The sequence below is a fragment of the Homo sapiens genome, chromosome 1 (assembly GCF_000001405.40).
Source record: "Homo sapiens chromosome 1, GRCh38.p14 Primary Assembly".
Taxonomy (NCBI): Eukaryota; Metazoa; Chordata; class Mammalia; order Primates; family Hominidae; genus Homo; species Homo sapiens.
Genome location: NC_000001.11, coordinates 206,896,483 through 206,923,375, shown reverse-complemented (window position 1 = coordinate 206,923,375; position 26,893 = coordinate 206,896,483). Strand labels below are relative to the sequence as shown.

Genomic DNA, 26,893 nt, shown 5'->3' with positions numbered 1-26,893 from the left:
ACAGCTGCTCCGGGCCAGGGGAGATTCAGATAGGGATGGGGCAGGGCAGGCTGCCCACCCCCCCACACACTTCCTCTGCACCTGCTCTGAGCCTCACATTCAACTTCCACCACGGATGTTGTTGTTTTAGAGAACATGTGACAAATCTGCTGTGTGGGGGCGAGCAGGGAGTGGCTGACACAACCACTGTGGAGCCCGGGTCTGTCAGGCACATCCCCCCAGAAACAGTGTGAGTATAGCCCGGATCCTCCAGGGGCACAAGAGGTCCTTTCACCTGGGGTTGGGGCCCTGAGAACTGACCTCCAGGGATGAAACTTCCAGGAACAGAGCCCTGAGAATGCCCTCATAAGTAATACCCCTGCGCAGCTCACAGTGAAGGCTTCTTAAAGCACTTCCATGCCTGTGAGTTCTGCTGGGCCTCAGAAAAGCCATGTGAGGTGGGCAGGGTAGGGGCAATCCCTACTTTATCAAGGAAAAAACCGAGGCCCAGGGAAATTTGCCCAAAGCTAGAAAGTGCCAAGCCAGTACAAGACCTGAGGTCTTCTGACTTGCATCCAAAACTCTTCCCAAGATGCCCTGTGGCCTCAGCATCTCTCTCCATCAGTCATGGGCCTTACCCTTGGGCCCTTGGGGTCCTGAAGGAGAGCTCTACCAGGGTGCTGTGACTTCAGGCAAAGTGGCTGCATGACCTGTCACACCCCAGTTCTGGCATTGCCTTGGTGGTCACTGGACAGAGGCCTGAGCCCTTGCCACAGGGCAGCACCTTGTGGGGACACTTTGGGGAGATTAAGGGTGAAGGTTGGCTGAGGTGCTGGGGAGCTATGTGAAGTCCTCAGGAACTGTGTTCTGCAGGAGGGAATGGCAGGGATCATCTAGTCCCAGCTTCGTTTATTTCCTAGATGAAGAAATTCAGGCTCAGAGAAAAGTAATGGATTGCTCAAAGTCCTTAGTTAGTACCCCCACATAGAAGGTGCTCAAAAACTATTGTAAAGGTGAGTTAACTGGTGACTGGTAAGGACTACAGTCAGCATCTTCTGACTTCAGGCCCAAGCGTCTGCCCATACAGCCTTTCTCAGGCAGGGAAAATTGGTGATAAGGCTCTTTTATCCTGAAGGCAGAATGAAAGCAAATGACCCCAGCACGGAAGCCAATGAGTATACATAAAGCACGGGAGGCCCTGCTAAGAAAAAGCACCAAGACAAAGGAATATCAGGCCTGGTCACTGCTAATAGTCTGGAGGAACTTCTTAGATGCCTTTTGAACAGGGTGACCCTTTCTTACTCCACACAACATGTTTTCTCAGCTCCTGACTTCCGCTGTGGTTTGTCAGCACTCTCTTTTTAGCCTGAGAATAGTTAGCAAACAAGGGAGGTTGTCATTTCCTCATCGTCAAGCTTTGTTCCTCGTGGGGGCTAGAAATCTCTTTCCAGTTCCAGATTGTGAAGGGTTCCTGAGTAAGCAGCGTGTCTCCATCCCCCTCTCTAGGGGCTCTTGGATGGACCTTGCACTCTAGAAGGGACAATGGACTTCTGGCTTTGGCCACTTTACTTCCTGCCAGGTAAGTACCGTGGGGAAACACTTCAGACCTCTGAATGAGGCTTGAATTGGCCACAAGTAGAATAATTGCCTGGTAGCTCTAGCTCTGATGTTTCTGGATGGATTCAGTTGTGAACCAACACCTAGGGCAGGACAAGAATGGAGGCCATGTGAGGTGTTGGATGCCTTCCTCACTCCATGGTAATGCTCCTTTCTCCACTCCAGACACTCTCCTGTTTCAGTCAGGTGTTAACTCTATCACCCAGGCTGGAGTGCAGTGGTGTGATCATGGCTCACTGCAGTCTTGTACTCCTGGGTTCGAGTGATCCTACCACCCCAGACTCTCTAGTAGCTAGGACTACAAGTGCATGCCACCATGCCCAGCTAATTTTTAATTTTTTTGTAGAGATGGAGTCTTGCTGTGTTGCCCAGGATGGTCTTGAACTTGTGGCCTTAAGTGATCCTCCTGGCTCAGCTTCACAAAGCGCTGGGATTACAGGTGTGAGCCACTGTGCCCAGCCAGGTGTTAACTCTTAAGAGCTGAAGGTGTCATCTCTCCTAAACATATTAGCCTATTAATATGGGATCTTAAAGCAAGTGTCTCCGTACTTCTTTCTTCTTACCTCTACACTCTTTCTATAGATCTTTTTCAGTCCCGAATTTCCAACTTTCAACCCTAAATGAAAATTCCGTAATCCATTCAGTAGCTCTAATCTATTTCCTGAATTCCATATCTCAACTTACAACTGTCTCCTGGGCAACCTCTGCTTCAATATTCCACCAAGATTTGAAATGTAAACTGCCTAACCTTACCTCAATTCTTCATTGATCACCATCCAAACCAGCTATTTCACCTGTCTGAAGTATCGCTGATCATCAGCCACAAAATGCCAGAATGGCTAATTACCACCTCTTCCCATGTATCCTCATTCAGACCTTGATCCAGTCAATGGCCAAATCATTGCAGTTTCTAGATCCATGTCTACTGGGATAAGAAGCAGCAGCAATTGATACTAGGAAGGTAACAGAGGAAATGGACGGGAAAAGAACACACAATCCCCTCTTAACTATCTTTCCCACTTCCTCTAACTCAGGATGCCTGCAGTGCCAGATTAATTTTCTTAAACTTGACTTCTAATCACAGGATTACCTCTCCCAAGAACCTCTAATGACTCCTACTGCCTACTGAAGTCAATATACACTCCTCCCTGTATCCCCTTTCATACTCTGAGCCAACCATACTCCCCAACACTTTCCTAACCTTCGGCCAACAGGACTCCTCCTTGAACACAAGCCACACACTCCTGCCACCATGTCTTTGCCCATGCTGTGCCTTCTGCCAGGAACACCCTTCCTCTCACCTTCACCTTTTTTTTTTTTTTTTTGAGACAGAGTCTCTCTCTGTTGCCCCGACTGGAGTGCAGTGGCACAATCTCATCACACTGCAACCTCCGCCTCCTGGGTTCAAGCGATTCTCCTGCCTTAGCTTCCCAAGTAGCTGGGATTACAGGTGCGCACTATCGTGACAGGCTAAATTTTGTATTTTTAGTAGAGACGGGGTTTTCCCATGTTGGCCAGGCTGGTCTTGAACTCCTGACCTCAGATGATCCACCCGCCTCGGCCTCCCAAAGTGCTGGGATTACAGGCTTGAGCCACTGCACCTGGCCACCTTCACTTTTTATGGGTTCTTCAAAGTCCATCTCAAACTTCACCTCCTTATTGTAGACATTCCTGAGCCCCCTCTTCTGAGCCCAATGGCTGCCTTGTATTATGTTCAATGTGTGTCCATCTTAATTTGGTTTATTCAGTGATAAGTTCCTTGTGGATTAAAGTGGCTTCCTATTATGTTTGCTTTCTTTGTGATGTCTTGAGTATGAAAGAAACTCAGATATTTGTTAAGCTGAAGATTGAAAATCTCTAAAAGTCCAACGGAATGGAGTTTACGTGAAACATCAAACACTGTGAGAGGTAGTAGGACATAGGAGGGCACGGTGGTTGGTTAACTAAACTTAGGCCTGAGGAGGAAGAGAGGATTTGGTGGGGAGTGGAAGACCTAAAGGCATGAAGGGTCCTCAAATTGCACCACTTCAGTCTGTCCTGAGAAGTACCCTCATTCTAGCTGGGCCAAGGGATCCTGCTATGGGCTCCACCCTTCTCCAGTCATGCCCATGCCCACAGGGTGAGCACTTTGCAGGCCGGGGGAGGCACACGCCCCAAGCCCACACCTAATCCCACTTTTTTTTGAGACAGGATCTCACTCCTGTCACCCAGGCTGGAATGCAGTGGTGTGATCACGACTCACTGCAACCTCAACTTCCCAGACTCAAGTGATCCTCCCACCTCAGCCTCCTGAGTAGCTGGGACTACAGGCACATGCCACCTCTCCTGGCTAATTTTTGTATTTTTAATAGAGATAGGGTCTCACCATGTTGCCCAGGCTGGTCTCAAACTCCTGGACTCAAATGATCAGCCTGCCTCTGCCTCCCAAAGTGCTGGGATTACAGGCCTGAGCCACCATGCCCTACCCAAACTCTCTCTTTTAGAACTAGAATTCCCTGTCCACATGACTCTGGGCCCCCTTTCAATGACGGTGCAAGCTTCTATCCTGGGTCTTCCTCTTGAGATTGACCCCTGGCCTATAAAAGGTGGCCATGGGCGGCTATTTGGGAAGAAGGTGGGGGTGGACGAAGACTGTACTTGCAAGCTGGGGTATCTACTATGTATATACCAGGACCCTTGTGCTGTGGGCAGGAGGAAGGGATGAGAGGAAGCTTGGGGTTGTTTTCCCTGCATGGCCACGGAGTAGAGTGGACATCCAAGGAGGGTGCATTAGTCAAGCTAGGGAAGTAAAGCGAATTTTATTTAACAGTTTATTAGCTTGATTTATAACTTAAAAATATTCAGATATATAGTATTTGGGCTTTAATTTGTACTCCTACTCCAGGTCCTGCAAATGCTGGAGTGGGTCTCCCTAGGGCCTAGCGCATGAGGCACAAACTGTAGACCACTTTGCCTGGAGCCCTGTGTAGAGCTCTATAATAAAGCAAGGCAGTGTCATGCAGTGTGAGCTTTCAAACCTTTTTACCTTGACTAATGATAATAATAATACATACATACATACATACATTTGATGCTGGGACCCAGCATGCACAGACACACACACACACACACACACACACACACACACACTTAAAATTTATTCTTGATTCTTTAACATGAAGATGAGTTCTAGGCTTCAGCAGATGGGTGGATGATGGGGTCATCGGAAGAGTGTGTGAAGGTCAGGTTTTGGAAGAGAAATCAGCTCTTTCTCAGCTGTCCTAAGTTTGGCATATATCTTACACATTCAAGTAGGGTCCACGTGGAGATGTCAGAGCAAGTCTGGAGCTCAGAGGAAGACTGGAGATCACATTTTGGTGGAATCTATAGCATTAGCCTTAAAAGCCATGGGAGTCAATGAGCGAGTGAGGGGAGAGAGGGAGGGAGGACAGAGAAAAGAACAGGTCCAAGGCACAGGGCCTGGGCTAGCCAGGATGGAGAGGCAGGAGAGAAGGAGAGGAAGAATGCAGGCTGACAGGGAGCCACCGTTGAGGGTATGCACTAAGGAAGCCACACCAAGGGTGTGTTTCAAGCTGGGCTGGCTCCATTCTGTCAACCGCTGCTGAGAGGATGAGGGGAAATGAAGACAAAGAGGTGACCATTACATGTGGCAACAGGAGAATTTCAGTGACTTGACAAGAGCAGTTTCAGTGGAATACTGGACACGAAATTCTGATAGAAGTGGATTGAAGAGAAATTGGGAGGTATGGAAGTGAATCTGATTTAGCGAATTTGATGACTGATTTGAGAAAGAGAATAAAGAGGTGTGTTGGCAGGTGAAGGGGAGGCAAAGGTCAACTGAGGGATTTCTAAAGATGGGCAAAGCCAGGCATGGAGACTCATGCCTGTAATCCCAACACTTTGGGAGGCTGAGGTGGGTGGATCATTTGAGCCTGGGATTCAAGACCAGCCTGGGTGAAAGCCCATCTCTAAAAAAAAAAAAAAAATTCGCCACACATGGTGGCAGGCGCCTGTGATCTCAGCTATTCAGGAGGCTGAAGTGGGAGCCTCAATTGAGCCCAGGAAGTGGAGGCTGCAGTGAGCCAAGATTGCACCACTGCACCCCAGCCTGGGTGACAGAGAAAGACCCTGTCTTAAAAACAGAAGGAGAAGAAAATATGGGCAATAGCAGGACATGTGTGTAAGCTATGGCAATGCTAGATGAGAAGGCCATTTTTCTCCAATAGCCAGAGAAAGAAACAGGATCATTGCAGACAAGAAGTTCTAAAACAGGTGAGAATGATGGACTCAGGATACAGGTGGAGGGGCTGGCCTTTGAAAGGAGGTGGACACTTCATTCTTTGTGACAGGCTGCAGGCCTGGACACACCCGGGTTACTATATCTGGAAATAAGAAGCTGAGCGGGATGTTTCTCATCCTTCAAAAAAAAAATCCATGCCCCGTTTGATAAACATAAAAATCACAGGCCAGCTCTCCTCTTCCTGAGATCTGCTCTTATTTGAGTTGACTAGGTCCTCATCTGCACTTCCACCTGGAAAATCACCCCTAAGTGGGTGCCAGAGTCCCTCTCCAGAGCTCCCCAGCCACCAAGGACCTATGGACCTTGATCTTATTTTGTATGGTGAAAATTTTTTCCCATTTTCCAATCATGTATTTACATCCGTTTATATATTGAGAGTGATTCTTTAAGCCACATATCCCCCTCTTCCCTACCATAACCACTGAAAATCAAGTCACCAATTTAGAGATTAATGTCACTTACTTAGCAGCCTCTCAGAAATATTACTATTGAACAGGTTGGTTCCTTTCGATGCCTTCTCTCATTCCTCCCTTTCTTCCCCAGAATCATTTGTAAATGTTATATAGCCCAGGATTGCAGAAATGCAAGAGCACCTGGGACACCTGTTTAAAAACACGTATTTCTAGACCATGCCCTAGACAGATGTAATCACCTTTCCTAAGAACGGGACCAGATCATCTGCATCGTAGCCAATCTCCTCAGATGAGTCTCATGCACACTGTGCTACTTTAGATGTCTAAACCAGTAGCTTATATCTGTCTTTTCTCTGTTTTCAAAATCTGCTTTACTAAGTCTTGGGAATAGGTTAGAAGCTACCATGAACTTGAGGAGAACTAGTTTCTTTTTCCTGGGGACTGGTCATTTTCACATCGCCAACAACTGCTTCCTTGTGGACCAGAGCTCAGCATAGCCAGCAGCTTTCCTTGCACTTCATCCGTCTAGGGTCTGCACAAGCAGCCGAACAGGCAAGCCAGGGATTTACCAAAAGCTCAACCCTGGGAGGCCTGAGGCTGCTGGAGGTTGCTACATGGGTGATGACCCCATCTCTGCTATCTTCCCCCTGCCCGTTGTGTACCATCTTGCTCTTGGGAAAGTGGCATTCACACCCCCTTCCTGGCTGGGTTAGTCTCATTTGAATACTTCCACGTGCTCCCACCCTCGGCATTCAACTTCCCACACAGGTGGGGGCTGTCTGGATGCACAGGGTGATTCCTCCAGACCTTCCTTTGATTGGGTCTTTGTCTGTTGATTGACACTTTGTGACAGGTCACCTTTCCATTGCAATGTCTAGTTGTGAGGCTACCTCATGACTCAATTTCCAGTGGGTTTAAAGCAGTGCTGGGTTTTTCATGTGAGGGTTTCCATGTCAGAACTCGTGGTTTTGGCTGGTCCATCTGCCTGTCCCTACCATGTTTACATCAGCTACACTTTTAGATCTCAATGTCCTCCTGTACGTCCTCCCTCTCCAAATCTCCCCACCTGCCCCAACCCCCTTTCCCCCTCCCATGATTGTTTTTACCTCTCTACCGTTGTCAGAATTCTTCCCTTTGCCCAGAGTGTCTTTATCCCAAAGCCTCAAGCCCCACCTCTTTCCTAAGCTATACCTGACTCTTGTTTGACTAAACTCGATAGTGCTCTTCTTAAAGTGTGCCCTGTGGATAAATCTCAGTACGTTTGCAAATGTCTCTCCGCCCATGGACATGCTATGTTCTCTCTCATATCCCGGACTGTTAGGGGACTGTTCTGGCTATTTGGAAGAATCTCTTCTCCCCACTTCAGGCTTCCAGCCCCACCTCGCCACACACACACAACTTTACCCTATGAACTTTCTTCCCAGAAATATGCAGACACTTATGGGATCCGCTTAGTTGGCAATTAGTCAGACACGGCCTTACCCTCTTCTGTAGCTGGCTCAAGTGCATTAGACCTGACCTCTGTCACTCAAAGCATAAGCTTTATGATGTCAGGGATTCATGAACCACATCTTTTATCCCTCCCCAGCACACATACAGTGTGTGCACACCTATGCACACATACACACACACCCTCACTTCCCCTCCTATGTCCCCTGCCTCCATGATGAGCATCGTCACGCTCTCAGTTGCACTCCATACCCATTCCTTCAGGTCACAACTCAGACGTCACTTATTCCAGAAAGCCCTCCTCCGACCACGCCACCCCCTGCAACAGCCTACATCAGGCGCCCGGGTTTGCTCCTTCCAGGGAACCCCATGCGATCTCTCTCATGGGATGTATTACACTGCTCACTGGCCATTGATTGGTATCACTCACTAAATGATCTGTGACTGAGGGAGGGATGCCGGCTGCTTTACTGTCACAGGAAAGGCATTCAATAAACGCTTGTTGAATGATTTAATAAATAGAGCTGTGGATGAATGGCTAGATGGATGCGCCTGAGCGAAACCAAACTGGAAAGGAAAACCTGTTGCAACATAACCGCACCATGCTCCCAGCACCACACTGAGGTCACGTGGGGGCTCTATGCTGTTTGGGGTCACCTGAGGCATATTATGTCTCTTTGGAGTGAGTGATATACTTTTGATTATCATCTCAATGGTTTAGTGTCTGGGTCCTTATGGGTTTGGGTTTGGTGGTGAGGCCAAAGCTGGGGGTTAAATTAAGGTAACGCTAAGGCATAGGATTGGGGGTGAACATAGAGCTGGCCTGAGGTTGTGAATAGGGTTGGGGATGGGATGAGGCTGAAGTTGAGACTAAGGGTAGAAATGAGAATAAGGGTTGGGCGTGGTGGCTCAATCCCAGCACTTTGGGAGGCCGAGGCAGGCAGATCACTTGAGGCCATGAGTTCGAGAACAGCGTGGGCAACATAATGAAAACCCCATCTCTACAAAAAAGACAAAAATTAGCCAGGCATGGCAGCATGCACCTGTAGTCCCTGGTACTTGGGAGGCTGAGCTGGGAGGATTGCTTGAGCCCAGGAGGTTGAGGCTGTAGTGAGTCATGATCATACCACTGCTCTCCAGCCTGCGTAACAGAGTGAGATCCTATTAAAAAAAAAAAAAAGAAAAGAAAGGAAGGAAGGAAGGAAGGAAAGAAAGAAAGAGAAAAGAGAGAGGAAGGAAGGAAGGGAAAGAAAAAGAAAGAAAGGAAGGAAGGAAGGAAGGAAGGAAGGAAGGAAGGAAGGAAGGAAAGAAAAGAAAAAGAAAAAAGAAATGAGGATAAGGCTGTGGCTAAGGACAGGCTGAGGCCAGGCTAATAATTGGGACAGGGCTGGATCTGGGGATGAATGTGAGGTTGGGCTGGGGCCTGGGCTAGGGTTGGAGAGACGGCTGGAGCTGGGAAGTAGATGGGGCTGGGATATAGTTAGAGATGGGGCTCCCTCTGCATTAATCTCCTCTCCCTGCAGTATCGGGGGCCCTGAGGATCCTCCCAGAAGTAAAGGTAGAGGGGGAGCTGGGCGGATCAGTTACCATCAAGTGCCCACTTCCTGAAATGCATGTGAGGATATATCTGTGCCGGGAGATGGCTGGATCTGGAACATGTGGTACCGTGGTATCCACCACCAACTTCATCAAGGCAGAATACAAGGGCCGAGTTACTCTGAAGCAATACCCACGCAAGAATCTGTTCCTAGTGGAGGTAACACAGCTGACAGAAAGTGACAGCGGAGTCTATGCCTGCGGAGCGGGCATGAACACAGACCGGGGAAAGACCCAGAAAGTCACCCTGAATGTCCACAGTGGTAGGTTCCTCCGCTGATTGGAGGCTCAGACTACCCAGAAAATGTTTCACTTGGGAAGATTGGAACAGCCATCTAACTGTAACAGTCTCCTAGACTCTTACACTGTTGCCATATAAGCCACATAATGATTGAGATCCATATGAAACCTCATAGTCAATTACCTCCATGGTCCACACAATTTTCTACCCAACATGTATGAAAAGAACAAGATAGGTGCTCTCTTTGTATTGTTCATCCTACCCAGGGCATGAGGGGAGTAGAGGCTTGAGATTGAGGAGAGGCTCTGAGATGGAGGAAATTGGAAGCAAAAGGAAATAACTATCCAACGTAATTGTCCCATGAGAAATAAAGGAAAGACACTAATTTATCCAGCCACATTTATAGGCCAATCTTATTACTCTGTGACCTGATCCTTTATTTCTCTGGAACCCCGCCTTTCTCCTTTCCTCCACTGAGTTCCCCACACATATGCAGCAGTAATTCAACAGCCTAGAATCCCAATGACCTCTGCTGGTTTTGCAGGGAATGTTGACTGGACTAGGGGAACCAGTATTTCCTCCAGGGAAGCCCCCAACCCAGCTCCTTCTCTGCTTCTTTCAGTGGACCCTGCCCTCATCCCCTCACTGTCATCCACTTTGGCTGAATTAGCTTCAGTTTACACCCAAGCCTCAGTCTCCCCCTAGAGACCACCAACATATTCCTCTTCCTTCCAATAGAATACGAGCCATCATGGGAAGAGCAGCCAATGCCTGAGACTCCAAAATGGTTTCATCTGCCCTATTTGTTCCAGATGCCTGCATATGCCAGTTCTTCCAAATTCGTAACCAGAGGTCAGTTCACCATAGCAAGGGTAGGAGAGGTGGGTGAGATGCTGTGGCAATGTGAAAATGGAGGAGGGGGTCTATGTTCAGTTCATAGAGTGGCTGGCAGAGCTGAGCTGAGTCTTAGGTGTGTATTCCCTGCCTTTAGAGAGGGCACATACCTCCCTGAGATCTGCGGTCCATATCCTTCAAGCCTGTCCGACAGTCAGGTCCCCTGGTCCTAGCTGCAGAACTTACATATTACCACCAGGTGGCACCACAAGCAATGATGTTTGTGCTCCACTCACAAAATCTAGCTCTTTTTATGAATGACTGCGGAAACCAAGACTGGGCAGACATTTCCCAGCTGGAGATCATCATGTCTCGTGCTTCCCGTAGGGCTGTCTTCTACCTGCTGGCATCTAATGATTTTAACTCTATTTTGCAACTAAAAGATTAAGGATGTTCATACTAATGATACCTTTACATTTTGATATCATCATCCAGTTTTAAATGCATTTTGACATGCAATATTTCCATCATATTATCCCATATGCCTATGAGGTAGACACATTAATTGAACATTATTACACTAGGTAACCCTGCTGAGAGCCAAGAGGGATAGTGTAATTGAACAGATCATGTAGCCAAGGTTGTGACTGATAGGTGTGAAATGGGGGAGAATAGATTAGCACGCAAATACAGCACAAGGCAGATTGGGAATAGAACTACAAAAAAGGTTTTCCCCCTGCTCAGAGGGGGCAAGCTCTTCTACCTGGGAAGTCAGGGAAGGCTTCCTGGAAGAAATGGTATTTGAAGCAAATATACTTGGAATTGAGTAGGCCTAGATAGCATGTTAAAAAGGATTTTAGGCCCTGAGGACTGCAAGAACAGAAGTAGTCTGTATAAAAGGGAAGGGTATGTTGTGGAAAGAGGTGGTGACCTAATCCTGTTGGAGAATAGAGTGTATAAAAGGAACATCCCTTTTTCCTGCTACCTCCTGCAGTTACCACACCAGCTCAAAGGGGCAAGGTCCCTCCAGTTCACCACTCCTCCCCCACCACCCAAATCACCCACCGCCCTCGAGTGTCCAGAGCATCTTCAGTAGCAGGTGACAAGCCCCGAACCTTCCTGCCATCCACTACAGCCTCAAAAATCTCAGCTCTGGAGGGGCTGCTCAAGCCCCAGACGCCCAGCTACAACCACCACACCAGGCTGCACAGGCAGAGGTAAGAGACCACTGTCCAGGATCTAGAGTTAGGCTAGAATTAAGAGATCCACTGAAACCCACTGCAATGTCCATTATTAGACACCCTCCTTGGCTTTGTCTCTAGGCCACTGTGAAATATACCACCTATGAGTATAGCTCATTAACTCATTAGTTCCTTTAACAAAAACACACTTGTCAATGCCCCAGCATTGATCCTGTAGAAAGAAGTGAGACCCAGCTCTTCCAGTCACTTAGATTCATTCAGATCTATTTTTATGGGGAAGAACTAAATGAGAATAAAAATAAAATTAACTATTAAACTAGTAATATAAAATTACTTTCACCCATTTCCTTTTACTGTTTTAATGTGGCTACTAGGAAATTTAAAATTACATATGTGACTCACATTTCTCCTGGACAGCACCGGTCTAAAGGCTGGGGTGCAGTCCAAGGAAGTACTGCAATATACCACTAGGGGGAAGCATTATAGCAGACTCCAAAAAAAAAAAACCCTATAATAATCAAAATTGGTTTTGCATAAGCAAAGACAAAGGTGATAGTGAGAAAGAGGACCTCCAAAATCATTTGGGTTCTATAGGTAGGAGAAACTGGGGCCATGAGAACCAAGTGGTTTCAAACAGAACCAGGACTCTTGCTTCCTACCTATTAGTAGGGAAAACATCAAGGTCAACCAGCATTTTCTTATTCTCTACTATGTGGCAAGCATTGTGCTATGTCCTGAAGATATAAGAAGATGACAATATGCAATATCCAGATCTTACTAACATAAGTCTGACTTGATAAAGTCTGAAACAGGCATGACCACAGAATTGGAAACCCAAAGCGCACACACACACACACAAATCTGGCTTACCATAATTAGGAAGAAAAGAGGACTTACACAATGTCCTTTAAGAAAAGTAAGATTTCAATATGCAGAGAAAATTGAGGGGAAAACTTCTAGGCAGAAGGAGCACTATGAGAAAAACATCCTTTCCCCCACCATTATAAGGAACTAGCCCAGTCAATATCTGCAATAATCTCGTGAAGAAACTAAGGTGCTGAACACCGGAAGGTGCATTAAATTCTTTATATCCACTCTTATTTCATCCTCATAACAGTTCTGTGAAATAGATTTTACTATACCTATTTATGGAGAGATAAGGCTCAGAGAGGTTAGGAGACTCGTTCGAGATCACACAACCAGTAAAAGGCGGAATATGAATTTGAATTCAAGTTTCGTGACTCCATAGGCAAGTCTTTTTGAGGGGGGAGTGGAGTGAATTCTGTTAACAAAAGGACAAACCTGTAAGTCATCTCCAAAAACGTTGGCTACACAGGAGCAAGCCCTCAACCTACCTCCTTTAATAATCTCTTCCTCCCTCTCTCCCTTTCCTTCCCTCCCCAGAGCACTGGACTATGGCTCACAGTCTGGGAGGGAAGGCCAAGGATTTCACATCCTGATCCCGACCATCCTGGGCCTTTTCCTGCTGGCACTTCTGGGGCTGGTGGTGAAAAGGGCCGTTGAAAGGAGGAAAGGTGAGCGGCTGGGCTTCGGTAGGGAGAGCTGAGCTGCCCAAAGAGCCCACAGCGTTCAGAACCCCCTTTTGAACTTCCATGGGAAACTCGGAGCTTTTGATGAGCAGCCTGGGGTGTAGGGAAGTTAGGGAAGTGGGGGCCACTGGTCTGAGGAGGAGAGCGGCCTGGGCCCTTTGGTCTTCAGGGCAGGGCAAGGCCGTGCCTCGTACATTCCCCACGCTTGGAGCATCTCCAGGTCAGACACTGCCAAGCCCGAGGGAGGAGGCAGCCTTTCGTTTGGGGAGGGTGGCACGGGCCTCTGATGCCATTTTCCTCCCTCTTCCCGTGGCTTTGTGGGGAAGCCCTCTCCAGGCGGGCCCGCCGACTGGCCGTGAGGATGCGCGCCCTGGAGAGCTCCCAGAGGCCCCGCGGGTCGCCGCGACCGCGCTCCCAAAACAACATCTACAGCGCCTGCCCGCGGCGCGCTCGTGGAGCGGACGCTGCAGGTGAGCCGCCGGGCGGGCCACGGGGAGTAGCGGAAAGAGTGCGCTGGCTCCGGGAAAGCCGGGCGCAGCGGGGCGCGCTCCCAGGTGCCAGGGCTTCCCACAGGGTGGAGCTGGGAGTGGGGCGGGGGTGGAGCTGGGAGTAGTAGCATGACGGTGGGGCGGGAGCCTCGGCCGCCGCCTCACCTCGCCCTCGCTGTTCCCTAGGCACAGGGGAGGCCCCCGTTCCCGGCCCCGGAGCGCCGTTGCCCCCCGCCCCGCTGCAGGTAAGCTCCGCTCCTGCCCTGATTGGCAGCCGCGGCCCGACTGGGCGGCCCCAGCCCTGGGCGGGGACCCGAGTGTGGCTTCCCGCGCCGCCGCCGCCGCGATCCGGAGAGCGGGTTTCCCAGCAGCTCCTGGGCCCTGAGCCGAGGAACAAGTTGTTTTAGTTTCCTCCTTGTTTGGTGTCAGGAGGTTGAATACCGGGAACTGTAGAAGACCTGGTTCCGTGGCTTCTAGCCAAGCAGTTGTCACGGGATACCTGCGTGCTGGATGCAGCTGGCTTAGCAGAGAATGATAGGTGGCAGCTCCACAGTTATGTGAAAGGCTTTCTCGTGGAGGAGATTAGATTTCTAGGGGGTCCTAGGGAGGTGGAAGCTACCTAGACAGTTCACCTTCCTGTGCGCGAGAACTTTCTAGTAAACTCTCGAAGATGAGAGGAGGTAATTTACCTTTCTCTGGAGGCGGTTAAGCTTGGCTAGAGGATGACTTGGGAGAGATGTAGACAGGGTTCAACACCTTGAGTGAGGAGGATTCATCTTTAAATCTAGAGTGGATGGAGGGAACTCGCGTTTCCACTCAGGGCCACTGATGGTTGGGTAGAAAGCCTTTATCCGTTCATCTTTAAGAATTGAGATGAGAAAGCTTTTTATTCTCTAAAGCAGCCTACAGTGTCCAAAACACGCAGAGCCCAGAATAAAGCTTTTTTTAAAAGGGTGTGGTAAAAATCCCTGTTTTTTTTTTCTTTAAAAATAATTTATTTGATCCTGATTACAAAATACAGGTGAGGAGCACAGGCAATTCCTGTAACCCCTTGGTCGCACATCTTCCCAGTCTATGGTTCTATAAATACCCTTTGTACAACAGCAAGCTCATGTTGTCCCCAAGCGCTTGCACATTCTAACAGCTGCAGAGCTATATTACCAGGTGGAAAGTTAAACAGACGCCCCACTCACAAGGTAGGGCCCCTCCAATTAGTCTTCCGACTCCTTTTTGCTAATAGTAACTGGTTGCTCTTCCTATTGGTCATAGATAAATTACACCTGCACAATTCCCTGAGTGCTTTCAAGTAACCTCAGAAAGCAGTGACTAAGACCCTTTCCTTGCTCCCAGCTTCCTATGTCCCAGGCTGCCTGTGGCACCCGGACTGCTGCTGCCCCTGGGTCCCGCACATTCCAGGGCGACGATGGAGGAAGGGCAGGCCAGGCCAAGCATGAGGAATTAACAGTCTTTATTGGGCTCAGACCAGGAGCCCGTGGGTCTTGAGGACCTCTGTGTATTTGTCAGTTTTCTTCTCCACGTTCTTCTCGGCCCGTTTCCGTAGCCTCATGAGCTGTTTCTTCTTCCTGTAGTGGAACTTGGCCTTCTCCTTCCACTTCTCCTCCAGGGTGGTTATCACTGCCTGGTACTTCCAGCCACCATCGTGAGCCAGGCGCTCCAGATAGGCAAACTTTCTTGTAAGCTTCAGACGCACGACCTTGAGGGCAGCAGGAACCACCATCCGCTTTTTCTTGTCGTAGGGCAGTAGGATGCCGTCAAACACCTTGAGGTGGTCCAGGGCGGCCTGGCCTCACTTGGTCTCTTGGGGCAGCAAGCCTCGTACTTGTGCCACAAGATGCGGCTGGGGGCCGGGAAGTGGTAGGGACCTCGGGAAGGGTTGGTGTTCATCCGCTTGCGGGGGAAAGCCAGGTACTTCAACTTGTTTCTGTAGAAATTGCCAGAAATGTTGATGCCCTCCCAGCGTACGACAACCACCTTCCAGCCCAGCAGTACCTAGTTAGCCACGATGGCCGCCAGGGGGCCCAGGAGATGGCCTCCACCATCAAGCACCAGGACCTGCACCCCCGCCATCTTCGGCAGCCGCCTGGGAAAAGAAAATCCCTTGTTTAATTCGCATGTAGACTAAGCTAATGCAGCAGACTCCAAAAGACAGGGCCCACACGGTGGAAGCCTACTTCCCCCTCCCCAAATAAAGGCTCAGACAGGGACAGGAAGAGGTGGCCTGAGCCAGTGAGCCAAGAGGTCATCTCGGGACTGAAATTCCCTCTGTCTGGTTGCTGCGCCATCCTCTGGAGTCTTGCCAGCTCCATGGTCAGTACACAGGCACCAGGACCGTGTGCACGTCCCAGCTTACAGGAGGGAGGAAGAGAATGCTGCTTCTTAAGCCCATGACCCTGACGTTTCCCACCATTTCCACTTGCATCCTAGAGGCTGAAACTTAACCATGTAGTGAACCTCCCTTCAAGGCAGGCTGAGAAATTTAATCCCCAGCTGGTCAATCGTGGGCCTGGCTACAAAGAAGAGAGTGGTACCCAGCAACAAGAGGCAGTTCTGCGCAGTCCCCACCCCGCCCCCACCCCCCCCCCACCCCCCCACCCCCCCACCCCCCGGCTTCTCCGGCTTGCCCTTCCCCACCCCCGCTAGAGAAGGTTCACACCCGCGTGGCAGTGTTCAGCAGTCTGAACATAGTAGGCATTCAGTAAGTACTCATTGAAAGGAATTTTGATATATTTTGTACTTTACTAAAGAGGGAAGCAGCAGCAGCTTGCTTCGAAAATATGTGCACAAGGTCCTGGTACCTGAATACTGACCATTGACTCCAGAGGATGGTGCAGCAACCAGGAGGGACAACAGGCGCCACACTGTCTGTCTACTCCGTCTTTCCAGCAGCCCTTTTCTCTAAAACTGCCCTGTGACCACACAGACCCTCACCTGGGCCTGCACCTTGTTCCAAGCTGACCCTGCCTCTCTACTTGAAACTCTCATTCCCACTATTAGGGGCAAAAATCTTGATGGAACAAATTTACAAAAAGGTGCCTATGCTTAATGACTCATTATTATAGCTTCCATGGGGAGCATTTCCATTTCTTAAGCCAAATAAGTTAATCTCAAATGATGAACTATAACAGGCAGTGAAAGACAAATTTTTGTTTTTTAGCAAATCTAAAACCATCTCTATTTCAGACAAAGAAAGTTAATTAAAACATAATAGAAGATAGTGTGAAAAACTAACAAAGGACTTGCTCACTTTTTTCAAAGTTCGTTTAATTTAACAAAAACAAAATCATGTCATACATCGAGGATTTCCTCTGCCTCATCCTCTTCCCCATCCTCAGCCTCATCTTCTTCCCGTCCTCAGTCTCTTCTTTGGCCTCTAAAGGAAGCTCAGGTATTACCACCTTCCTTCCCACCCTGGAAATTTTATCTTGATCATCTCTCATTTCTCTGTGTCACCTCCAACTTTGTGTATCGTTTCTCCTATTGTTATGTGCTGGTTAATTTGCTTCGGGTTGACATCTTGAGCTGTTCTGGGATCCAGGTCTTTCTTGACTGGTCTTATATCATCTAAGTGGAGTGCTACCAACATGTGCTTATTAGCTGTCTTTCACTGATTACTTGACTGAGTTTCATCCTCACTGACATTTATACCAGGACCATGTAATTTTGTTGCTTAGTTTTCTTTGCTCTCACTGTTACTTTTCTTTTCAACCTTCTCTCTTTTTTTCTTTTCTGTTTTGTGGCTTCTTACTTCCTTGACTGATGGAAAACATGTTTTCAAAGCAAGCTGCTGCTGCTTCCCTCTTTAGTAAAGTACAAAATATATAAAAGTTCCTTTCAATGAGTACTTCCTGAATGCCTACTATATTCAGGCTGCTGGACGTCTAATTCTCAGAGCTTGTGTTTAAATACATAACTGTCCCCCTTGTGGCCTTCCTCAGTGGATGAGATAGTAACTGTGCCATGTTGGGGTCACTGGCACAGTCCTGTCTTTTGAGAACTGACTGTCCTCAAGGTGGATGATCCTGAAGTTTCTGTCTGGGGAAGAGGAGCACCAGTGTTCCATGTGGGCTGCCATCTTATCCCCTTCACCATCCATCCCCCTTCCTGGAATGCACTGTCACGACGCCACATCACAGCATCTCTGAGCCCTTACAGAGGTGCTGAGGGTGACTCACTCTACTTCTGAATAACTCCCTAAGAAGATGCATATTTATGCCATAAGTCACAGCATCTTATCCCCGAGGGGATACTCCTCTGGCAGCTGGGTCTCTTTCAGGCCCATGCTTAGCCACATGATTTTACTCTGAGCCCCATTTAAGGCATTTCCTGCCCACATTAGGTTTTCCAGTTATCTCAGGTGAGACACTACCCTGAAAATCCCCAGGGCTACTCCACTTGATGGAGCTGAGCCATCTCTGTGTCTTTGCCTTCTGGAACTCAGCAGCCATGTCCATGCCCCATTGCCCACTATGAAAATCCACCTGGGGAGATATTAAAATCACCCTACCCAGATCCAGTGATGCTTCTTTCATTGTCCCCAGGTGTCTGAATCTCCCTGGCTCCATGCCCCATCTCTGAAGACCAGCTGTGAATACGTGAGCCTCTACCACCAGCCTGCCGCCATGATGGAGGACAGTGATTCAGATGACTACATCAATGTTCCTGCCTGACAACTCCCCAGCTATCCCCCAACCCCAGGCTCGGACTGTGGTGCCAAGGAGTCTCATCTATCTGCTGATGTCCAATACCTGCTTCATGTGTTCTCAGAGCCCTCATCACTTCCCATGCCCCATCTCGACTCCCATCCCCATCTATCTGTGCCCTGAGCATGGCTCTGCCCCCAGGTCGTCTTGCACACCTTGGCAGCCCCCTGTAGTTGACAGGTAAGCTGTAGGCATGTAGAGCAATTGTCCCAATGCCACTTGCTTCCTTTCCAAGCCGTCGAACAGACTGTGGGATTTGCAGAGTGTTTCTTCCATGTCTTTGACCACAGGGTTGTTGCTGCCCAGGCTCTAGATCACATGGCATCAGGCTGGGGCAGAGGCATAGCTATTGTCTCGGGCATCCTTCCCAGGGTTGGGTCTTACACAAATAGAAGGCTCTTGCTCTGAGTTATGTGACATGCCTCAGCCCCATGGACTAAGCAGGGGTCTGGTATAAAAACACTCCTGGAAACGCCTTTGCCCTGATCCAAATGTTAGCACTTGCTAGTGAACGTCTACTTATCTCAAGTTCTATGCTAAAGGCAATTTATCTTGATGTGATGATAAACCAAACTTATTAGCAAGATATGCATATATATCCATAAATTCTCTTTACTCTGTCTCCATCACTTGATGCACATAAGTGCCCTGACCTCAGCATCTCCCCTCTAAAAAAAAAAAAAAAAAAGTATCTCTTTATCTTTCTTCCATAGCCTGACACTGATATTTGTGCACTTACCTTAACTTTGGTCTATTTTATTCATCCAAAACCATTACATTTCTTGGTTTTCACAAATGTTCCCCATTTCTTAGCCAGTTCCAGACAATGTATAGCAAGCAGGGGAAGGAAAGCAGTCAGGAGTTCCTGGGTGGCCACGGCTCTGCAATAGCACTTATGTCATGGAAGTGATATCCCACCTCCTACATATACTCTTTGCCTAGGTTTTTGGAACAAGGTTATAGTCAGACACTGTATCTTTAGATTGATGTCGACCACAAAGTTCAGCCAGAGCTTGAGGCTAGATGCACAGCCTTGCTATTGGGAAGAAGGCCTTTTCTAGCTGTACAACACAGTCTCACTGGGCATTCATCCAGAAATAGAGAAGAAAGTCTGCCAGACTTGAGTTATGTTGTCTTTTATTAGCAGGGAATGTCATCACAGATTGGATAGTACATCCAGGTGCAATGTCACCATCAGCAAGGTCAGCTTGACACTCAAGTGGAAGATTAGGGAAGAATGACTAGGATAAAAAAAAAAGGAGGGCACCAAGGGAAAGGGATGATGGGGTGAGCTGGCGAGTGTGGGTGGGAAATGAAATGTTTATTGAGGATCTGCTTTGTGCTGGGCACTTTAATCCACATTTTATCGTTTACTTTTCAAACAGATGCACCTTACCCCCACCCCAATGCTCTGTCCCTGCAGATATCAGAAGACAGTGTGATTTTCATGCTCTGAAGTTCAGTTTTACATCCAAGCATCCCTCTCTGTTTTTTAACAATCCAAAGACAGGCCAAAAAAAGCACCACAGTTTATTAAGTACTTACTAAGCACCCATCCACTGCCCCACACTGTGGCAAGGATTGTGAGGGGTAAAGAAGCATGGGGCACAATATTCTGCTGCCTTCATGTAACTTACAGTCTCACAAATAAATAGAACTTCAGTTGAAATACTGACATTAATTAAATAGAGTTGTAATAAATACAAGAATCTTCTCTGTAGACTCTTCACAGCATCCAGAGGCACCTTCCCTGACTGTCACTGGCGCTGCTTAAAGAATGACTTCTTTGACAATAATCCTGGGCCAAGAATGGGACCCATGGCCAAGGGCGTGAAGTGTCCAGTGAACAGCATAGGAAGGGAGACTGTTTGAAATGACACAGGGAACAAACCAGTGCCAGGGGGAGGGAGGTCCTGGTCTAGACATTCAGAGCTTGTAGAATTTCTGCATCCAGGTCAGAAGAATGTCCACTTCCCCAAGGGCTTTGGTCAGAGCTGCTTCTACGTCCAACTAAAGGGAAAAGAGGGTTGAAGGTCAGCCATGTTAGCTATGAGAATAGTCTTTCTTCCAACCTGCCATGCCTAAAATAGACCTGACTCCAATCCAAGGGATGGGTCACCTTTGGGATGAGCCCACTGATGAACCCACCTGCCTGTCACTTTTCCTCCATCTACATGTGTTTATCTGCTTCAGGGGTGAGGACAAACAGGCTAGTGAATATCAGTGGACAAAGAACAAGGGAAAGACATATGGCACCCCTAACAACAGCAACCACAAACTGCAGTATGGGATGGATATGGCCCACCACCTGAATCCACTGCACAGGTGAAATGAGCCCAGGTGGCCCCTCTCCATCAGATGTTATTGCTCTTCACCATTTATTTAAAAGCTGATGCATCTCTTCCTCAAAAAAAAAAAAGTGATCGAAATCATTTATGTTTTTAGGGGGGCTGGGGATGAAATTTGGGTTTTCTTTGTTGTCATAATTTTGGAAAAGCAAAAATAATTTCCCATAATTGTTTTTCACAACTAGACCAGTTGAGCATCATGGAAAATACTGCAGATGTGTATGGGGTGGGGGTGGGGGTGGGGTGTCTCCCTTCTTTCTCCCTCTCTTCTGACTTCAGTTGCCCAGCCCAAGTACCTACAAAACACAGGGAAAGTTCCTTTCGTAAAATCATCTTGTAGGGAAATATAGAAGCACTTTAACTTGAAAACTGGAAGAAAAAAGACCACTTAGTTTACGATGCTTCTGCAAATATAACTGTGCTCCTGCTAAGTCAGGGGGCTTTGGAGCAAAGCTGATGGTGTCCCCTGCATTACATTCTGCATTGGGTCTCTGAGGCGCCCTCGTGTGATGGTGCAGACTAGTCTATTCTGCTGGATGGGCAAGCTCTCAGCTCTTGGCCTTACCTGTTTGAATGCTCTCCGGAATAGCAGAAACCGCCTGTGTGCACTGTCTCTGATGGAAAACATCTCATTTTCTTGCTACATAACATGGGAAAAGAAGTTGTGCCAATTTTTAGATAGGAGCAGATGCAAACTCCCTCTCAGTTTTCCTGCTGATGCCACAGGGTCTCCCAAAGCCTGAGAGCCCAGGGCTGAATCCTGCATTCCCCAAGGTAACCAATACCAAACTCCCACCTTGTGAAAGGGGCTACCTCCTTTAATTCTCGCAGCAATCCTGCCAGGCAGGAGTGATCATCCCCATTTTACAGATAACAAACTGAAGCCCAGGGAGGTGGAGGACTTTGCAGAGGGTCACCCAGCAGATTGGAAGCAGACCTAGACTTGAACCCAGAGCTGCCAGTATCCAGAGCGTGTGCTACTCACACTGGGTTGCAGTTGTGACACGATGAGAACAAAGTTGTTGGCCAGAGTAGAGAATGACTTCAGAGTCCTGACTTCAACTGTTCTATTGTGGTAGTTTTTGAAAACAGTTTTCAAGTAGAACTCCAGCAGGGTGTGGACAAGGTAACAGCTCTCAGCATCCTGGGGAAGGTCTGGGTCACTGCTGAGCCAAGGCCTCTGCCCACCCTGACCCCCTGAAGGAACAACCCACATGCCACCCAAGGCAAGATAAGCACAGCAGAGATAGGGATCTTCTAGAAGGTGATGATGAACCTTAGATCTGTAGGAGCCTTCAGGGGCCATGGAGAGCAGGTCTTTGTTTGAGAGGAGGAACCAAGACCCAGGGAGAGAAATGACCTGGCCCGATTCACATAGTCAATCAGTGGCAGACACAGCCTAGCTCCCAGGATTCCTGACTGCCCATCTGCTTAATATTCTCTTTCTTCTATGCCACATGGCCTCTTTAACAGCTATGGGGATGTGATGGACCCTGAAAAGGGCTTGAACTTGGACTTGGTGATATAGAGTTTGCTGGAAAATGACTGAGAACAGAAGAAATGAGGAGAAACTAATATCTTTGGACACAGCAATTGCACTCTAGCCCCCTCAAGCTCCTGAAGTGCCACATCTTTCAGGGCTCAGGGCTCAGTAGGTTTGTGCCCACTAGATGGATGATGAGAAGATGGTGACCCATCCTTGATAACATACTCTACCTGATTGTGGTGAAAGAAAGGATGAATCCTTTTGTTAGGTATTATTTTAAGTCATGAGCTCACTTCACATGAGCTCACATGACAGAAAGAAAAGATGTCTCCAGGTTAGGGTTCAGCATAGAAACCAGCTCTGCAAATATGTGCTGCTTCCCTGGACCCCCTAAATCTATCCAGTCTATGAGACATCAAAGGCCAGATGGACCAAAGGAGGACCCAGGAAAAAGGACCCAGAGAAAAGGATGAAAATGGAAGAGAGGACATGAACCTAAGTAGATGCCTATTGGGCCTACACAAGTAAAAGAGAAATATATAATTCTCTGGCTAAATGGAGAAAGATGTTTACAAGCCTCCACCTTCCCCATCTCCCAGTACCACTGCACACACATACCACATAGCAATAACCCCAGACACTGACTTCCCTGGCTCACAGTCTGGCCCTGTCCTGTGTAAGGTCAGTCCAGGGAAGAAGTGAAGGGCTTTCATCAACCTCCCCTAAGAAAGCCTTGCACTCCCACCCACAGTAGACCCGTCCCACAGAGGGTGGTGTCCCCGAGGTCTGATTACCGAGACGTTCTGCAGAACCTCCTGCTGCAGCAGCCGGGCACTCGTGATGTTATCCTGAGCTTGCTTGGCAAACAGAAAGAAAAGACGTCTCCAGGTTAGGGGTCAGCATAGAAACCAACTCTGCAAATATGTGCTGCTTCCCTAGACCCCTAAATCTATCTAGTCTGTGAGATCTCAAAGGCCAGAGGGACCAAAAGAGGACCCAGGAAGGACTGGGCTGAGCTGGCCCATGGGGAGGGGAGACAAGGTTGCAGCCACGAAAATGACTAAGCTTGGCCCCCCAGGAGCAAATGGAGTCCCAGGAGTTCTTCTTATTCTTAGAGCATGAACATAGATTTGATAAGGAAGCAGTTTGATGCCTCTGGTCATTTGAGATGGGAGGAAATAAGCCTATCTGCTTTAAGAACCACTATGGGCAGGATTTTGGCTCCATATTCCATGTGGTGAGGAAGCAGGATGTGAGGGAGGACAGCCTGCACCCTAGAGCTGCCTCTTGCCCTTGGAGCTTCCTCCACAGCCCAGCCACTCATTCCAGTTCTCAGATTTAGAGCCGAAGACTCTATTCGGGACGAAGCCTGGATGAATCTAGCTCTCTTCATGGTTTCCCTTGGGCACTGCTTATTTCACTCGAGGCTGCCCACATTTTTTCTGAGCCCCAATTTCCTCATGTGTAAATGGGGCTTGTGGTGCCTTCTGACCTCACAGAGTTATTATATGGGAAACTGGAAACTGATTAGCAAGCTGTGAAGGACTCCAGAATCATAAAATAGCATCCCCTCGCCCCACTGGCCCACTGCCCCCAGGAACCCCCACGACTGGGTCCAGAACAGCACTTTACTCACCATAGTGTCTTTCACAGCCCAGAAGGCTTCCCACAGTTTCTGGGGAACAACCCCCTTCACTTGGCAGGGCCCAAAGTGGAATTCTTGGCCCTGGGCCCCTGATACCTGGCTCCAGAGAAGCAGGGTAAAACCCAGGCAAGGGAGCACAACCATCTGCATTTGAGAGGCTGTCGCCAGCAAAGGAGGGCAGAAGGGTCTGCTGAAAGAAAGGGAGGCAGCCTGTGAGGCCGGCCCTCTGACCCAGAGTTACATGCCCTGGGAAAATGCTCCGAGGGTCTCCCCGGGCCAATCTCGAGCACTCTCCAATGGGCAAGTTGAGACTATTGCAAACCGGCAGCCTTGCTAAGGTGCAGTGGGGGTGAAGCAGGGGTCTTTCTGCCCCTCAAACTTAAGGCCGCTCGTCTTGCCATCTGTCCACCTGCTCTTCCCCACCTTGCCCGTCCACACCCACACGCCCTGCACCTCCTCCTTCTCCATCGCAGTTCTCTCTAGCCTACAACCTGCGAGTCAGAATTTGACCCAGAAGAGTGGAGAAATGGGAGGTTCTAATGTGCCACGTCTGGGGAGCCCAAACCCAGGAAAACAAAGAGCTGAACTAGACATGTGCTTATCCAAGTTCTGCCCTGAAGCCACTAGGCACACATAGGCTGGCAGGTCTTTTTCTCCTCCCCAGGAGACGGCTGTCCCTCACTCCTCATCACAAGGGAGCAAGGGGTTAATCCTGGTCCCAGGGAGGGGCACAGAGGGCAGGTCAGGGTCACACACAGACTATGCCACCTCCACTAACCACTCACTCTTGAGTCTAAAAATTCACTTTTTTTAGTAACCAAATGAGAGAGAGGCATCAGATTTCCAGATGAATCATCTCTAAAGCCTTCCTCTGAAGTGCCAGTTGGGAAGGACTGAGTGAAGAGCCTCCAAGCTGGGGAACCTAACGCCATTATGTATTTATTATAACTGATGCAGAGAATTTCTTTCCCCCTGCCTTCTTTGCCCTTTGTCCTTTCCCTCCCTCTCTCCCTCCCTCCCTCCTTACCTTTCTTTCTTCCTTCTTTCCTCTCTCGCTCCCTCCCTTTCTTACTTTCTCCCTTTCTTTCGTACTTCTTTACACAATCATTTAAGAACCTTTCTTACTGCAGGCACTGGTCTGACACCTAAAGAAACTGCCTCCCACCCCTACACCGGGAGGAAGACCAGAGAAGACCCGGTTCTGCTGGTACCTGGGCTAGGGAGGCGGCGACCCCTGGGTTATGGGTCACGGGGGACGGGGGCTATGCTTTAGCATCTCCCTCAATGTCTTTTCATTCTGTTCTTTCAAACTCCACAGGCTTTTTTTTTTTTTTTTTTTTTTGACAGAATTTCAGTCTGTCACCCAGGCTGGAGTGCAGTGGCATGATCTCGGCTCACTGCAACCTCTGCCTACCAGGTTCAAGTGATGCTCATGCCTCAGTCGCCCAAGTAGCTGGGATTTTTGTATCTGAAAATATCAAAAACACATGCCCAACTAATTTTTTTTTGTATTTTTAGTAGAGACAGGGTTTCACCATGTTGGCCAGGCTGGTCTCGAACTCCTGACCTTAAATGATCTGCCCACCTCAGCCTCCCAAAGTTCTGGGATTACAGGTGTGAGCCACCGCACCTGGCTAAAGTCCACAGGCTTTGCAGCCTCTGTTGAAAATTCATCTCTCAGTCTCGTGTTCCTCCTGGCCTTCCTCCCAAGCAGCCTCAATTCTTCTTGGTGTTAAATTGGCGAAAGCAGCTCCTCATCACAGTCATGTCTTGTCCCTACATCAACACTCAAAAAAATTGACTTCTGCTGTCCCCACCTTGACCCCTTTTCACAAATAAAGCAGAGGTCTAGTCCTTCAAAAAAAAGTAACCAAGAATCCCCCATGCTCACCTCTGGTCCTGTAAGTGATGCTTGAGGGCTGGCTGCCTGGAGGCAGCTGGTTCTTTTTACAGAAAAGTTAGACAGGCACCTTCACCATTCACCAATCAGAGGCATAGCTGTGGGTGGAAGGTTCCCGTCCCAGCCGTGGAAGTCATTTCAGAAGTAAAGGTTTGCAGGCAAGCAAGGCTTTGTGGAGATTTGGGCATATATATGGGGGCTGATGGGGGAGGGGTGGAGGAAAAAGAGGGAGGTGGAGAAAGGGAAATTGGTCATGCTTTCCTAGAGAATTACTTCATTGCCTAGTCACCCATCACTTTAAGGACAATACAGCGATGGGGAAAGCAGCCCCTGAGGTGAGATGAGACCTGGGTTTGAGTTCAGGCTCTACCACTGGCTGTGTGGGCAGGGGCAAGTCTCTTAGCTTCTCTGCGCTGCAGTCTCTGCATGTATAAATTTTTAAAAAATTTGTCCCACCTCCCCCCAAGGGCAAGTGTAATAAACAGAGGCAAAAACAACACAGAGGTGCTTGGTAAACTCTGTACACATGTAAATACATTATTACTGTGCAGCATACACCAGTCTCCTTCCTGTCAAAATAATTCAATAATGATGCCCTATTCATGCTGGGACAGTAGTCCACAGCGAAGAAATAACCTGTAAGTACCTCTCCTTTAATCCATCAGGGCCAGGAAGTTGAGGAGTGTTTCCTGACATGCAGCTACCCATGGTCCCTAGGGTTATAATCACTCAACCAAAATGTGCCTCTCCTTAGGTTCTGGAAACCAGGAAGAATAAGGAAATGTACGCATGGACAAGCCCAGAAAGCTGGGAGGCCTGGTGCTCTGGTGGGCTAGTCTTGGCCTGTGTGGCTCTGAACCACTCAGGGGACACAGACAGCGTGATGTGTCAAGACTGCCAGGGCAGTCAAGAGCTCTGACCCTATCTCCAGCTAGCAAGGCACTCAGCTCTAGATTCTACCATGTGCCCAGTGAGGGCATCAAGCAGAGCAGTGTTTCCCAAAGCACAGTCCTCAGACTCTAGGTTTGAGGAATTCTTGTCTTGCAAGATCCTCCATGAAACAGATGAATCCTAATGAGGTCAGTTAGAGAGCCCTGGCATGTGCTAGCCCGTCCTGGAAATGT

The 26,893-nt window shown here is 48.5% G+C and overlaps 2 protein-coding genes and 1 pseudogene across 27 annotated transcripts, besides 9 other annotated features; 1 reads left to right on the top strand and 2 right to left on the bottom strand.

Annotated features, from left to right (window-relative positions):
* On the top strand, positions 180-20,059 carry FCMR (Fc mu receptor). 20 transcript variants are annotated; one of them, NM_001405862.1, is made up of 10 exons: positions 180-229; positions 1,486-1,558; positions 1,943-2,035; positions 9,282-9,617; positions 10,334-10,447; positions 11,424-11,646; positions 13,036-13,166; positions 13,508-13,651; positions 13,856-13,914; positions 18,229-20,059. In NM_001405862.1, the coding sequence occupies exons 2-10, from the start codon at positions 1,522-1,524 to the stop codon at positions 18,355-18,357; spliced, it is 1,266 nt and encodes a 421-aa protein (NP_001392791.1). In that variant the 5' UTR covers positions 180-229; positions 1,486-1,521; the 3' UTR covers positions 18,358-20,059. The 20 variants fall into 20 exon arrangements, with proteins under 20 accessions (NP_001392791.1, NP_001392800.1, NP_001392816.1 ...); NM_001405871.1 differs by lacking the exon at positions 1,943-2,035; NM_001405863.1 differs by lacking the exon at positions 180-229 and having other exon boundaries at positions 1,435-1,558.
* Positions 655-864: an enhancer, noted in NCBI's record as "active region_2431". NCBI's record gives its function as "activates an Ori minimal core promoter by ATAC-STARR-seq in GM12878 lymphoblastoid cells {active_cell/tissue: GM12878}" and the evidence as "EXISTENCE:reporter gene assay evidence [ECO:0000049][PMID:35858748]".
* Positions 1,405-1,534: an enhancer, noted in NCBI's record as "active region_2430". NCBI's record gives its function as "activates an Ori minimal core promoter by ATAC-STARR-seq in GM12878 lymphoblastoid cells {active_cell/tissue: GM12878}" and the evidence as "EXISTENCE:reporter gene assay evidence [ECO:0000049][PMID:35858748]".
* Positions 2,883-2,932: an enhancer, noted in NCBI's record as "active region_2429". NCBI's record gives its function as "activates an Ori minimal core promoter by ATAC-STARR-seq in GM12878 lymphoblastoid cells {active_cell/tissue: GM12878}" and the evidence as "EXISTENCE:reporter gene assay evidence [ECO:0000049][PMID:35858748]".
* Positions 2,953-3,012: an enhancer, noted in NCBI's record as "active region_2428". NCBI's record gives its function as "activates an Ori minimal core promoter by ATAC-STARR-seq in GM12878 lymphoblastoid cells {active_cell/tissue: GM12878}" and the evidence as "EXISTENCE:reporter gene assay evidence [ECO:0000049][PMID:35858748]".
* Positions 5,134-5,233: an enhancer, noted in NCBI's record as "active region_2427". NCBI's record gives its function as "activates an Ori minimal core promoter by ATAC-STARR-seq in GM12878 lymphoblastoid cells {active_cell/tissue: GM12878}" and the evidence as "EXISTENCE:reporter gene assay evidence [ECO:0000049][PMID:35858748]".
* Positions 11,877-12,542: a silencer, noted in NCBI's record as "S10 fragment used in the reporter construct". NCBI's record gives its function as "represses activity of a beta-globin enhancer-driven SV40 promoter in transfected K562 erythroleukemia cells {active_cell/tissue: K562}" and the evidence as "EXISTENCE:reporter gene assay evidence [ECO:0000049][PMID:30886051]".
* Positions 13,820-13,869: a silencer, noted in NCBI's record as "silent region_1768". NCBI's record gives its function as "represses an Ori minimal core promoter by ATAC-STARR-seq in GM12878 lymphoblastoid cells {active_cell/tissue: GM12878}" and the evidence as "EXISTENCE:reporter gene assay evidence [ECO:0000049][PMID:35858748]".
* RPL13AP8 (ribosomal protein L13a pseudogene 8) lies at positions 14,648-15,778 on the bottom strand (annotated as a pseudogene).
* Positions 17,459-18,658: an enhancer, noted in NCBI's record as "P300/CBP strongly-dependent group 1 enhancer chr1:207078063-207079262 (GRCh37/hg19 assembly coordinates)". NCBI's record gives its function as "activates an origin of replication core promoter dependent on BRD2, BRD4, P300/CBP, MED14 and CDK7 cofactors, with strong dependence on P300/CBP, by STARR-seq in HCT116 cells {active_cell/tissue: HCT116}" and the evidence as "EXISTENCE:reporter gene assay evidence [ECO:0000049][PMID:35650434]".
* IL24 (interleukin 24) lies at positions 19,237-25,933 on the bottom strand. 7 transcript variants are annotated; one of them, NM_001185156.1, is made up of 7 exons: positions 25,761-25,933; positions 25,500-25,645; positions 23,861-24,059; positions 23,019-23,081; positions 21,724-21,882; positions 21,304-21,378; positions 19,237-20,400 (listed from the first exon to the last, which is right to left on the bottom strand). In NM_001185156.1, the coding sequence occupies exons 2-7, from the start codon at positions 25,541-25,543 to the stop codon at positions 20,317-20,319; spliced, it is 624 nt and encodes a 207-aa protein (NP_001172085.1). In that variant the 5' UTR covers positions 25,544-25,645; positions 25,761-25,933; the 3' UTR covers positions 19,237-20,316. The 7 variants fall into 7 exon arrangements, with proteins under 7 accessions (NP_001172085.1, NP_006841.1, XP_047297719.1 ...); NM_006850.3 differs by having other exon boundaries at positions 23,861-24,056; XM_047441763.1 differs by having other exon boundaries at positions 25,500-25,933.
* Positions 21,306-21,365: an enhancer, noted in NCBI's record as "active region_2426". NCBI's record gives its function as "activates an Ori minimal core promoter by ATAC-STARR-seq in GM12878 lymphoblastoid cells {active_cell/tissue: GM12878}" and the evidence as "EXISTENCE:reporter gene assay evidence [ECO:0000049][PMID:35858748]".